Source organism: Homo sapiens, chromosome 8 (assembly GCF_000001405.40).
Source record: "Homo sapiens chromosome 8, GRCh38.p14 Primary Assembly".
NCBI classification, from domain to species: Eukaryota; Metazoa; Chordata; class Mammalia; order Primates; family Hominidae; genus Homo; species Homo sapiens.
In genome coordinates this window covers 102462650-102477267 of record NC_000008.11, presented here as the reverse complement: position 1 = coordinate 102477267, position 14618 = coordinate 102462650, and the positions used below count along the sequence as shown (strand labels likewise).

At 43.1% G+C, this 14618-nt stretch overlaps 1 long non-coding RNA gene across 1 annotated transcript in view; it reads right to left on the bottom strand.

Annotated features, from left to right (window-relative positions):
- LOC105375683 (uncharacterized) overlaps positions 1 to 14618 on the bottom strand; it is a 110442-nt gene that overhangs the window by 45513 nt on the left and 50311 nt on the right. Inside the window, exon 4 of the long non-coding RNA NR_168428.1 lies at positions 8597 to 8753. This is a non-coding gene — a long non-coding RNA (uncharacterized LOC105375683). The remainder of the gene's footprint in view (positions 1 to 8596; positions 8754 to 14618) is intronic.

Sequence of the window (14618 nt, the reverse complement as noted above, 5' to 3'; positions counted from 1 at the left end):
TTATTATTATTTTTTTGAGGTGGAGTCTCATTCTGTCACCCAAGCTGGAGTTCAATGGTGCGATCTTGGCTCACTGCAACCTCTGCCTCCCGGATTCAGGCAATTGTCCTGACTCAGTCCCCCAAGTAGCTGGGACGACAGGCATGCACCACCATGGCTGGCTAATTTTTGTATTTTTAGTAGAGACGGGGTTTCGCCATGTTGGCCAGGCTGGTCTCGAACTCCTGACCTCAGGTGATCCACCCACCTTGGCCTCCCACAGTGCTGGGATTACAGGCGTGATCCACCGCGCCTGGCCTCAAGTTTTCAGGTGTTTTTTTTGTTTGTTTTTCGTTTTTTTTTTTTTTTTTGAGACAGAGTTTCACTCTTGTTGCCCAGGCTGTAGTGCAATGGCGTGATCTCAGCCCACCGCAACCTCTGCCTCCTGGTTTCAAGTGATTCTCCTGCCTCAGCCTCCCCAGTAGCTGGGACTACAGGCACACACTGCCACACCCAGCTAATTTTTGTATTTTTAGTGGAGATGAGGTTTCTCCATGTTGGCCAGGCTGGTCTCAATCTCCCGACCTCAGGTGATCCGCCCTTCTTAGCCTCTCAAAGTGCTGGGATTACAGGAATGAGCCACCGCTCCTGGCCTGAAACATAAATTTAATTAAGTGTGGTGCCTGTAGTCCCAGCTACTCGGGAGTCTAAGACAGGAGAATTGCTTGAACCTGGCAGGCGGAGGTTGCGGTGAGCCAAGATCGCGCCACTGCACTCCAACCTGGGTGACAGAGAGAGACCCCATCTAAAAAAAAAAATTATGTTTTGGGCTGGACGCAGTGGCTCACGCCTGTAATCCTAGCACTTTGGGAGGCTGAGGCGGGTGGATCACCTGAGGTCAGAAGTTCAAGACCAGCCTGGACAACATGGTGAAACCCTGTCTCTACTAAAAATACAAAAATTAGCCAGGCGTGCTGGCACGCAGCTATAATCCCAGCTACTCGGGAGGTTGACGCAGGAGAATCACTTGAACCCAGGAGGCAGAGGCTGCATGAGCCGAGATCACGCCACTGCACTCCAGCCTGGGCGACAGAACAAGACTCCGTCTCAAAAAAAGTAAAAAATAAAAAAATAAAAAATTTTGTTTGGGATAACTGTAGACTCATATGCAATTATAAGAAATAGATTCTCAGGCCAGGTGCAGTGGCTCACGCCTGTAATCCCAACACTTTGGGAGGTGAGGCAGGCAGATGGCCTGAGCTCAGAAGTTTGAGACCAGCCTGGGCTACATGGCGAAACCCTGTCTCTACAAAAAATACAAAACTAAGCGGAAAGAAAATTAAAAACAAAGAAGTAAGCCAGATGTGGTGGCGCATGCCTGTAACCCCAACTACTCCTGAGGCTGAAGTGGGGGAATCATTTGAGCCCATGGAGTGGGGAGGTTGCAGTGAGCCAAGATCGCACCACTGCACTCCAGGCTGGGCAACAAGCGAGACCCTGACTCAAAAAAAAAAAAAGAAAAAAGAAATAGATTCTCAGGTCTTTCCTGGGTGTGAAAAAAAAAAAGGAAGGAAGGAGGGAGGGAGGGAGGGAAGGAAGGAAGGAAGGAAGGAAGGAAAGAAAGAAAGAGAAATCCTGTGTATTTTTTTATCCAGTTTCCCTCAATGGTAACATGTTGCAAAACTAGATCACAATCAGGATATTGACATTGATACCGTCAAGATACAGAACATTTCCATCACAAGGATTATCATGAAGCCCTTTCATAGCCATGGGCCTTTCTTCCTATCATTCTGTAATCCCTGGCAACCACTAATCTATTCTCCATTTCTATAACTTTGTCATTTCAAGAGTATTATATAGGCTGGAAATGGTGGCTCATGCCTGTAATCCCAGCACTCTGAGAGGCCGAGGTGGGCAGATCACTTGAGGCCAGGAGTTCGAGACCAGCCTGGCCAACATGGCAAAACCTTGTCTCTACTAAAAATACAAAAATTAGCCGGGTGTGGTGGTGTGCCTGTAGGCCCAGCTACTTGGTGGCTGAAGCACAAGAATTGCTTGAACCCTGTTGGTAGAGGTTGCAGTGAGCTGAGAGGCCACTTACACTCCAGCCTGGGCAACAGCAAGACGCCATTTCAGAAAAAAAAAAAAACAAAAAACGGGTGCGGTGGCTCACGCCTGTAATCCCAGCACTTTGGGAGGCCGAAGTGGGAGGATCACCTGAGGTTGGGAGTTGGGAGTTCAAGATCAGCCTGACCAAGGCAGGCTGAAGCAGGAGAATTGCTTGAACCCAGGAGGCTGAGGTTGCAGTGAGCTGAGATCATGCCACTGCACTCCAGCCTGGGCAACAAGAGCAAAACTCCATCTCAAAAAAAAAAAAAATGTGGGGGGAATGTTATCTAGATGGAATTATATAGTATGTAACCTTTGCGCATTGACTTTTTTCACTCAGCATAATCCTCTAGAGATTCACACATGTTATCAATATGTGTATCAGTAGTTGGCTCCCTTTTATTGCTGAGTAGTATTCCATGGTATGGATGTACCAAAGTTTAATCATTCATCTATGGAAGGACATCTAGGTTGTTTCCAATTTTTAGCAGTAATGAACAAAATTTCTATAAATATTTATGTATAGTTAGTTTTCTGTGAACATAAATTTCCATTTCTCTGAGTTAAATGCCCACAAGTGCAATTGCTGCGTCACGTGGTAGCTGCGTGTTTGTTTTTTTTTTTTTTTTTAACTGCCAAACTGCTGGCTTGGTGGCATGCATAGTCCCAGTTACTCTGGTGGCTGAAGCAGGAGGATCACTTGAGCCCCAAAATTCTAGATTTCCTTCTTGGCACTGCTTTAGCTGTGTCCCACAAATTTTGGTAGGCTGCCATTTTATTTTCATTCAATTCAACGCATTTTTAATTCCCCTTGAGACTTCCTCTGACTCGTAGATTACTTCAAAGTGTGTTGCTTATTTTTCAAGTGTTTGTAGTTGTACTCCTCATCTTTCTTTTATTGATTTCTAATTTGATTCCACTGGTCAGAGAACACACTCTATGTTTTCAATTATTTAAAATTTTCTGAAGTTTGTTTCATGGACCAGGATGTAATCTATCTTGGTATGTGTCCCATGGGTACTGGAAAAGAATATGTATTCTGCTGTTGTTAGGTGGAATGCTCTATAAAGTTTAATTAGATCCTGTTGGTTGATGATGTTGTTAAGCCTTCTTACAATCTTTTGATTTTCTGTCTGCTTGTTCTAAGCAATTATTGAGAGAGAGGTGTAGAAACCTCCAGCTATAATTGTAGATGTGTCTGTTTCTCTTTTCAGTTTTGTTAGACTGTTTTTGCATTGCTATAAGGAGTATCTGAGACTGGGTAATTTATAAAGAAAAGAGGTTTAGTTGGCTCATAGTTCTGTAGGCTGTACAAGAAGCATGGTGCCAGCATCTGCCTCTGGTGAGGGCTTCAGGAGGCTTACAGTCATGGTAGAAGGCCAAGAGGGAGCAGACATATCACATGGTGGGAGAGGGAGCAGGAGAGAGAGATGGGGAGGAAGGTGCCACACACTTTTAAACACCAGATCTTGCATGAACTCAGAGCAAGAACTCACTCATCACCAAGGGGAGGCTGCTAAGCTATTCATGAGGAATCTTTCCCTATGATCAAACACCTCCCACCAGATCCCACCTCCAACAATGGGGATTAAATATGAACATGAGATTTGTAAGGAACAAACATTCAAACCATAGCACAGTTCTATTAGTTTTTGCCTCATATATTTTTGCAGCTCAGTTGTTTGGTGCATACACACTTAGGATTGCTGTCTGTTATTGGAGGATTAAATCTTTTATTATGTAATGTCCTTCTATGTCCCTAGTAATTTTCTTTTCTCTAAAGTCTACTTTATCTAATATTAATATAGCCATTTCTGCTTTCCTTTGATTAATCTTTTTGATACTTCTTATTTCATCCTTTTACTTTCCACCTGCCTCTGTCATTATATTTGAAGAGAGGTTCTTGTACATAGCATATAGTTGGATCACGTTTTTGTTCTTTTATTTTTATTTATTTACTTATTTATTTATTTTTGAGATGCAGTCTCACTCTGTCATCCAGGCTGGAGTACAGTGACGCAATCTCAGTTCACTGCAACCTCTGCCTCCTGGGTTCAACCGATTCTCCTGCCTCAGCCTCCTGAGTAGCTGGGACCATAGGTGTGTACCACCATGCCTGGCTAATTTTTGTATTTTTAGTAGAGATCATGTTGGCAAGGCTGGTCTTGAACTCCTGACGTCAAGTGATCCACCCACCTCTGCCTCCCAAAGTGCTGGGATTACAGGCATGAGCCATCGCACCCAGCCTAACTTTGCCATTTTATTTTTTGTTTTCTGTTTGTTCTTTCTGGTTTTTTAAAATTTATTTCTCTGTTTTCTTTTTACTACTTTCTTGTAGGTTACTTAAACATTTATTAGAATTCCATTTTGATTTATCTTGTTTGTTTGTTTTAGAAAAGAGGCCTCACTCTGTCACCTAGACTAGAGTGCAGTGGCGTGATCATGGCTCACTGTAAACTTGACCTTCTTCCATTTGGCTCTGGTGATCCTCCTGCCTCAGCCTCCGGAATAGCTGGGACTACAAGTGCATACCACCACACCGAGCTAATTTTTTTTTTTTTAGATATGGGGTCTCACTATGTTGCCCAGGCTTGTCTCAAGCTCCTGGCCTCAAGTGATTCTCCCACCCTGGCCTCTCAAAGTACTGGGATCACAGACATAAGCCACCACATCCAGCCGATTTTCGGTGTTTTCTAGTATATCTCCTTGCAAATCTTTTTTCAGTGGTTACTCTTCATTACATATACATAACTTCTTATAGTTTTCATTTTGCCAGTTTGAGTGAACGGTAGAAACTTTACCTCCTTTTATGCCCCTTTACTTTTCCCTATTTCTAACATAATTGTCTTAAGTTTTTCCTATACATACATTTAGAACCTCATCAAACAGTGTTATAATTTCTGCTTCAACCATCAAACACAATTTAGGAAAGGAAAATCTATTATATTTACCCATATTTTTATTACCATGTGTTTTCTTCTTCCCAGATATTCCGAGATTACTTCTTTTATCATTTTCTTTTTTTTCCAAGAACTCCTTTTCCCTATTTAAAACATGTCTGTTGATGACACAGTTTTAGTTTTCCTTTATTTGAGGATGCCTTGACTTCCCTTTGTTTCCTGAAGGATATTTTCACTGCGTACAGGATTCTTGGTTGGCAGTTCTTTTCTTTCAGCACTTGAAAAATGTTGTGCCACTTCCTTCCAGAATCCATGGTTTCTGATGAAAAATCTACTGTCATTAAGATTGATTTCTTTCCCTCTGTAAGTAACATGTTGTTCTTTTCTTGCTGCTTTCAAGATTTTTTCTTCATCTTCAGTTTTTAGAAATTTGATTATGAAGTGTGTTGGCCTGGATTTTTTTTGTTTTATTCTGTTTGGGTTTTACTCATCTTCTGGAATCTGTAGCTTATGTTTCTGCCAAACTTGGAAATTTTTCACCATTATTTCTTCCAATACTTTTCAGCATTGCCCTCTTTTTTTTCTTCTTCTTCCAGGAATTCAGTGACACAAATATTAGCCCTTTTGTTACAGTCCCACAAGTCCTTGCAATTCTGTTCATTTTTTTAAAGTCTATTTTCTCTCTGTTCAGATTGGGTAATGTCTGTCATTCCATCTTCAAGTTTACTGATTTGTTCCTCTGTGCCTTCTATTTTGCTGATGAGCCCATTCACTGAGCTTATAATTTCTGTTATTGTATTTTTCACATCTAAAGTTTTAATTTGGTTCTACTTCATATCTTCCACTTCTTTGCTGAGGCTTTCTATTTCTTTGCTGAGTGTTTTTGTTTGCTTATTTGTTTGTTTTAAGCTTGTTCTTGATTGCTCATTGAGGCATTTTTATAATGGCTACTTTAAAATCTTTTCAAGATCATTCTAACATCTCTGTCATCTTGGTGTTGGCATCCACTGATTTTTTTTTCCATTCAATTTGAGACCTGCATGGTTTTTGGATCATTCATAATGAACGATTTTTTATTTAAACTTGGAATTTGGGGGTGTTATGAGACTTTGGATCTTATCAATACCTTCTGTTTCTGGTGGCTTTCTGTGACATTATTCTGGCAAGGGAAGAAGGAGTTCTGCCTCATTACTGCTAAATGGAGGTAGAAATCCAGATCTCTCAGTTGACTCTGTTTATATCTGATAGAGGAAAAAGTACTTATTTTTATTGCTAGGTGGGAGTGAGAGTTCCAGCCTTCCAATAGGCCTGCATTGATACTTCCCTGGCTGGTAGAGGTAGGGATGCCTGGTTACTACACTACATATGGCCACTGAGGCCACAAGGTGCAGAGTGACCTTGTTACTGCTAGGCAGTGGTGAAAGTCCTGACTCTCTGCTAGGGCTCCTCTGCCACCACTCCAGTGGAAAGGCCATTGCAGGGGCTCATTACTGTGAGTTAGGGGTAGAAGTCCAGGACCCTCACGTGGTCTCCATGGATTCCATAAAGTGGGGTTGCGGGGGTGGGGGTCATTATCTCCTATTAGGGATGAAATTCTTGGCCCTCTATTCTGCCCTCTCTCATACCACCCTGGCAGTAGGCTCTACCTATGCATTTTATATTCACAGTTTACATTACAGCCTCATGAGATGGGACATCTAGTCTCCCACTCAACATTTGGTAGCATTTGCAGGGGTAAGGGCCAGAATCAAAAGGAAAACCCAGGGATTCACCACCATGCTGGACTCAATGTCCTTAGTTGGTCTGTCTTCTTCTCTCCATCTCTCTGGGTTTCTTATGTTTGTTTTTATATAATTTTTCAGGGTTTTTAGTTATACTCAGTGGGAAAAACTAGGGAGAAATATGTCTATTTCATCTTCCCAGAACCAGAAGTCCCTAGTTGGCTATCTTGAAAAATAGACAAAACCCATACTCTGGGGCAAACCAGAGAGAACCATCCAAGGTTACTGAGCATTTGAGCTGACTCTTCTGGGTGTTACTCTTGGTAACTCTGGGGGCCAGGAATCTCCTGCAGCCATTTGTTTGGCTTGATGTTTTTTATTTAATTGATTAATTTATTTATTTGAGATGAAGTCTCGCTCTGTCACCCAAGCTGGAGTGCAGTGGCACAATCTTGGCTCACTGCAACCTCCACCTCCCAGTTTCAAGTGATTCTCCTGCCTCGGCCTCCCGAGTAGCTGAGATTACACGCATGCAGTACCAAGCCTGGCTAATTTTTGTATTTTAGTAGAGACAGGGTTTCACCATGTTGGCCAGGCTGGTCTTGAACTCCTGACCTCAAGTGAGCCACCTGCCTCGGCCTTCCAAAGTGTTGGTATTACAGGCGTGAGCCACCATGCCTGGCTGCTTGATGTTTTTTAAATCAACTATTTAAAATAAGGGATAATTACCAGTTTCCGGTTGAAGGAAGATCTGAGTGGTTGCCGTTGTTTTGTACGGTGCGGGTCACCCATGTCCCAAGCAGGAGCTTTGTCTCCACGACTTTAGTTGCCAAGTTTTATGTCTTCACTAACTATCCCCAGAATCTACACTCATCACTATTGCTAACAGCCAAATTCACATCTCCCCACTGGGATTTATAATTCCTACTTTTCTTAGATGATGGGAAATTTATAATTAACTTTAATTTTGATGATATTTTAGTCACATCCTCAAACTTTGTCCACACGGGTATTTGGAGAATGTCTACCAGGTTTGCCGGGACATTTTGTGGGTAGAACTCATTTTTGGTTCTCAACAATGGCTAAGTTGTGAGAGAAGTCAGAGTTTTAAGGAGATCTTGGCCAGCAAGAGGTCAGCAGTGGAAAGACCAGACCTCCTCATTCCAATCACATGTGCATTCAGATTCAGAAAGACAAAGAAAAGAAGAGAAGAGAGAGAGAAAAGATTACTTGATCCAGAATATTCATTCTAAAGATGGAAGACTTTATCATTTAGGATTCCACTCAGCTGCAAGTGACAGAAAGATCACAGTGACAGTGGCTTAAACAGGATAGCAATTCATTTCTCTCTTACATAAAAATCTGGAAGGGCATTCCAGAACTGGAATGGGAGGTCTGGATTCATCAGGGACCCAGACCCCTTCCAAATTTCTTGCTCTCAGCCTCCCAAGTAGCTGGGACCACAAACGTGTGTCACCATGCCCAGCTAAATATTTTTTTAATTTTTAGTAGAGATGGGGTTTCACCATGTGCCCAGGCTGATTTTTGGTTCTCAACAATCAGGTCACTCAGCATCACTCAGGTGATCCACCCGCCTTGGCCTCCCAAAGTGCTGGGATTACAGGGGTGAGCCACCACACCTGGCTTCTTTTTTTTTATTATTTTAAAAATTATTTTGTAGAAATAGGCTCTCACTATATTGCCCAGGCTGGTTTTGAACTCCTGGCCTGAAGCAATCCTCCCACCTTGGCCTCCCAAAATGCTGGGATTACAGGCATGAGCCACTGTGCTTGGCCTGGAGGCAAATAATTTCTGTTACAGATATTAACAATAATAAGAATTCATAATGCTGTCTATGGGTGACCACCCCAACCCCTGATTTACCTTCACATGCTGCCATTCACAAGGATGTTGAGGATTTTTCCATTTGATGACTATATCTGTCTAGGTCTTCTCTAGCCGCTCCAAGTGTGTGATCAGAATCACCGGAAGGCTTTGGGTTCAGTTCAGGCTCCATCAGCGATTAACTCGGCCATGGAGTCTGTGGGATAAATACAGAATAAATATCATGGCAAAGAGACCACAGTTCCAGGAAAATAGCATGCCCTTGGCAGGAGAAGTATAAATGTTAAAGCAAATCACAGGCAATTTGCCAGGGAACCAGATCTAAACTGTAGGAAGCTCCAGTCTCCTTGAATTTAGCAGAGATTTGAGTGACTAATCCACCCTTCTCATAATTTCCCTCCAAAACTGGAAAAATAAATCCGTGAATACAGGATGATTTATTTTAAAGTCTGGGTCAGGGCCAGGCACAGTGGCTCACACCTGTTATCCCAGCACTTTGGGAGGTGGAGGCAGGCTGATCGCTTGAGGTCAGGAGTTTGAGACAAACTGGCCAACATAGTGAAGCCCTGTCTCTACTAAAAATACAAAAAAATTATCCAGGGATGGTGGTACACACCTGTGATCCCAGCTACTCAGGAGGCTGAGGCACAAGAATCACTTGAACCCGAGAGGTGGAGGTTGCAGTGAGCCAAGATTGCACCACTGCACTCCAGCCTGGGCGACAGAGCAAGACTCTGTCTCAAAAAAAAAAAAAAAAAAAAGAAAAAGAAAAAGAAAAAAAGTCTTGGTCAGTGGTAAGCATACAATGTGATAACCCGCCTGAAAAAACAACATTAAAAGGTTCAGAATTTTCGAGTACCCACTTGCCATGGCACCAGGGACTAAGAACTAAGTAGCTGTCTCTGAAGTTTACCAAAATAAAAAATTGTCTGCTGAGACTTCTCTGCTTTAAAATAAAAGTTTACTCCAGCCTGGGCAATACAGCAAGACCCCATCTCTAAAAAGATTTTTAAGATGTTATCCAGGTGTGGTGGCAAATACCTGTAAAGCCAGCTACTCCAGAGGCTCAGGCTGGAGGGTCTCTTGAGCCCAGGAGTTGGAGGTTGCAGTGAGCTATGATTGCACCACTGAACCTCAACCTGGGCAAAAGAGCAAGAACCTGTCTCAAAATAAAATAAAGTAAAAGTTTACCAGTTCACAACCTCTCACTTCTCTAGGCTCAGCAATCTGCAGCTGCTCAGGAACACAGCTAAGAAAAAAAAACTGAACCACACATGTCTATGAAAAAATAAAATACAGGTATACCTCATTTTATGGCATGCCACTTTACTGCACTTCTCCCGAGCAGGTGGGATTACAGGTGCACACCACGTCGCTCAGCTAATTTTTGTTCATGTTTTGTAGAGATGGGATTTCACCATGTTGGCCAGACTGGTCTCGAACTCCTGATCTCAGGTGATCTGCCCACCTCGGCCTCCCAACCTGCTTTAAGCAAGTCTATCAGCACCATTTTTCAAACGGCAAGTGCTCACTTCATGTCTGTGTCACATTTTGGTGATTCTCATATTTCAGATTTTCTCATTATTGTATCTGTTATGGTGATTTGTGATCAGTGATCTTTAATGTTACTATTGTATTAGGTTGGTGCAAAAGTAATTGCAGTTTTTGACATTAAAAGTAATAGCAAGAACTGCAATTATTTTTGCACCAACCTAAATAATTGTTTTGGGGCACTACAAACTGTGCCCATGTAAGATGGAAAACTTAATAACATATGTGTTCTGACTGCTCCACTGACCGGCCATTCTGCATCTCTGTCCTTTTTCCGTCTCAGGAATAGGCCTCCCTATTCACTGAGACAAAGCAATATTGAAATTACGTCAATTAATAATCCTACAATGTCCTGTAAGTGTTGAAGTAAAAAAGAAGAGTTGCATGTCTCTCATTTTAAATCAAAAGCTGGAAATGATTAGGCTTAGTGAAGACGGCACATTGAAAGCTGAGGCAGGATGAAAGCCGAGTCTGTTATACCAAACAGTTGACCAAGTTGTGGATGCAAAGGGAAAGTTCTTGAAGGAAATTAAAAGTGCTACTCCAGTGAACACCTGAGTGATAAAACTAAACAGACTTATTGCTGATATGGAGAAAGTTAGAGTGGTTTGAATAGAAGAACAAATCTAGGCCGGGTGCAGTGGCTCATGCCTATAATCCCAGTACTTTGGGAGGCCGAGGTGGGTGGATCACTTGAGGTCAGGAGTTCGAGACCAGCCTGGCCAACATGGTGAAACCCTGTCTTTACTAAAAATACAAAAATTAGCCAGGCACAGTGGCTCATGCCTGTAATCCCAGCTATTCAGGAGGCTGAGGCAGGAGAATCGCTTGAACTTGGGAGGTAGAAGCTGCAGTGAGCCAAGATAGCGCCACTGCACTCCAGCCTGGGTGACAAAGTGAAACTGTCTCAAAAAAAAAAAAAGATTAAATTCGCCACAACACTCCCTTAAGCCAAAACCTAATCCAGATCAAGGCCTTAACTCACTTCAGTTCTATGAAGGCTGAGAGGTGAGGAATCTGCAGGAGAAATGTTTGAAGCTAGCAGAGGTTGGTCCATGAGGTTTAAAGAAAGGAGCCATCTCCATAACCTAAAAGTACAAGGTGAAGCAGCAAGTGCTGATGGAGAAGCTGCAGCAAATTATCCAGAAGATCTAGCTAAGATCATTAATGAAGATGGCTACACTAAACAACAGGTTTTCAGTGTAGACAAAACAGCCTTCTATTAGAAGAAGAGGCAATCTAGGACTTTCATAGCTACAGAAGAGTAGGCAATGCCTGGTTTTAAAGCTTCAAAGGACAGGCTTACTCTCTTATTAAGGGCTAATGCCACTGGTGATTTTAATTTGAAGCCGGTGCTCACTGACTGTTCTAAAAATTCCAGGGCCCCTAAGAATTATGCTAAATCTACCCTGCCTGTGCTCTATAAATGGAAGAACAAAACCTGCATGATGGCATATCTGTTTACAGCATGGTTTATTAAATATTTTAAGCCCACTGTTGAGATGTACTGTTCAGAAAAAAAAAAGAAAAAATATTCCTTTCAAAATGTTACTGCTCAAGAGCTCTAGTGAAGATATACAAGGAAATTAATGTTGTCTCTATGCTTGCTAACATAACATCCATTCTGAGAATCCATGGGTCAAAGAGTAATTTTGATTTTCAAGTCTTGTTATTTAAAGAATACATTTCATAAGGCTATAGTTGCCACAGAGTGATTCCTCTGATGGCTCTGGGAAGGTAAATTGAAAACCTTTTGGAAAGGGGCCAGGCGCAGTGGCTCACACCTGTAATCCCAGCACTTTGGGAAGCCGAGGTGAGCGGATCACGAGGTCAGGAGATTGAGACCATTCTGGCTAACATGGTGAAACCCCGTCTCTACTAAAAATACAAAAAAATTAGCTGGGAGTGGTGGCGGGCGCCTGTAGTCCGAGCTACTTGGGAGGCTGAGGCAGGAGAATGGCGTGAACCCGGGAGGCGGAGCTTGCAGTGAGCCGAGATCGTGTCACTGCACTCCAACCTGGGCGACAGAGCGAGACTCCTTCTCAAAAAAAAAAAAAAAAAAGTGGTTTCTTGAGATGGAAGCTACTCCTGGTGAACAATGTTGAAATAGCAACAAAGGATTTAGAATATTCCACATTCTGAGCTGATAAAGGACGGCAGGGTTTGAGAGGATTGCTTCCATTTTTTTTCTTTTTCTTTTTTGGCTGCTCCTTACAGAGCAGGGCTAACTCTTAGGCAGTGTGCCCAGAGTCAGCTGACTCCAATTTTGAAAGAGGTTCTACCGTGGGTAAAATGCTATCTACCAGCATCGAATGATACAGAGAAATCCTTTGTGAAAAGAAGAGTCAATCAATGTGGCAGACTTCATTGTTGTCTTATTTTAAGAAATTGCCCCAGCCACCCCAACCTTCAGTAACCACCACCCTAATCAGTCAGCAGCCATCAACATCAAGGCAAGACCCTTCCCAACGAAAAGATTACAACTCACTGAAGGCTCAGATGATCATTAGCATTTTTAACAATAAAATATTTTAGGCCGGGTGCGGTGGCTCACGCCTGTAATTCCAGCACTTTGGGAGGCCAAGGCAGGTGGATCACCTGAGGTCAGGAGTTCGAGACCAGCCTGTCCAACATGGTGAAACCCCAGCTCTACTAAAAATACAAAAATTAGCCGGGGGTGGTGGCAGGTGCCTGTAATCCCAGCTACTCGGGAGGCTGAGGCAGGAGAATTGTTTGAACCCGGGAGGTGGAGGTTGCAGTGAGCCAAGATCACACCACTGGACTCCAGCCTGGGGGACAAGAGTGAGACTGTCTCAAAAAAATAAATAAATAAAATATTTTAAAGTATGTACATTGGGGTTTTTTAAATACAGTATTTTTTATTTTTTGTTTATTTTTATTTTTATTTTTTTGAGACAGGGTCTCATTCTGTCACCCAGGCTGGAGTGCAGTGGCATGATCACAGCTCACTGCAACCTCGACTTCCCTGGCTGCAGTGATCCTCCCATTTCAGCTTCTTGAGTAGCTGGGACCACATGCGCAGGCCACCATGCTCAGCTAATTTTTGTATTTTTGGTATCACCATGTTGCCCAGGCTGATCTCAAACTCCTGAGCTCAAGCAATCCACCTGCTTCAGCCTCCCAAAGTGCTGGAATTATATGCATGAGCCATTGTGCTTGGCCTGTTTTTTTAAACATAATGCTATTGCACATTTAATAGGTTATGGTATAGTGTAAACATAACTTTTATATGTACTCGGAAACAAAAAAATTTGTGTGACTCACTTTACTACAATATTTGCTTTATTGTGGTGGTCTGGAACTGAACCTGCAATATCTCTGAGGGATGCCTGTGATTTTATAAGCATCTGTGCATTTTTTCCCTAAAGAAGCCAAGCATAGCCACTGGATCCTGACTCACAGCCCATGTAATCTTGTACTGCACACAATTCTAATAAGCATGTTACCCAGCTTCCAATTTCCAAGCATATTAGGATTCTGGCCAACAGAATGTAGACAAAAGGGCTATGTGCTGCATTCAGGTATGGTCTTTAAAATTTCTTGTAAAATACTTCATTCTGTCTCTCTCACATGTCCCCAAATCCAGAGGATTCTGAGATGGAGTCTGAGGCCCTGGAACATACTGGAGGCCCACATAGCAGGCTGGTCCCCAAGTGGAGTGATTGCGGGGTGCAGAGCACTTCTACAGCCCCACCCTGGACTGTGAAGCCAGCAAGAAATACTCTGTTGGGTTAAGGTAGTGAGGTTTCAGGGTTGTTTGAAACAGTAGCCAGAATTTCTCATCCCAACTGATACAGAAATTAGGACCAAAAGTGCTGTTAACACACACACACACCAACTTGTGCATCAGGTAGTATGCAGTAAGGAAACATTTGGCAGAGTGGATGGCTGGAGATCCATTTTATAGAGTGGCAAGCTGGGAGCGGTGGCTCACTCCTGTAATCCCAGCACTTTGGGAGGCCAAGGTGGGTGGATCATCCGAAGTCAGGAGTTCGAGACCAGCCTGGCCAACATGGTGAGACCCCTGTCTCTACTAAAATACAAAAATTAGCTGGGCGTGGTGGCGTATGCTTGTAATACCAGACACTTGGGAGGGTGAGACATGAGAATCGCTTGCACCAGGAGGTGGAGGTTGCAGTGAGCAGAGATCATGCTACTGCACTCCAGCCTGGGTGAAGAGTGAGACTCTCTCTCTCTCTCAAAAAAAAAAAAAAGAAAGAAAAAAAGCCAGGTGAGGTGGCTCACGCCTGTAATCCCAGCACTTTGGGAGGCCGAGGCGGGTGGATCACAAGGTCAGGAGTTCAAGACCAGCCTGGCCAGCATGGTGAAACCCCGTCTCTACTAAAAATACAAAAAATTAGCCGGGCGCAGTTGTAATCCCAGCTACTCGGGAGGTTGAGGCAGGAGAATTGCTTGAACCCGGGAGACAGAGGTTGCAGTGAGCCGAGATCGCACCACTGCCCTCCAGCCTGGGTGACAGAGCAGGACT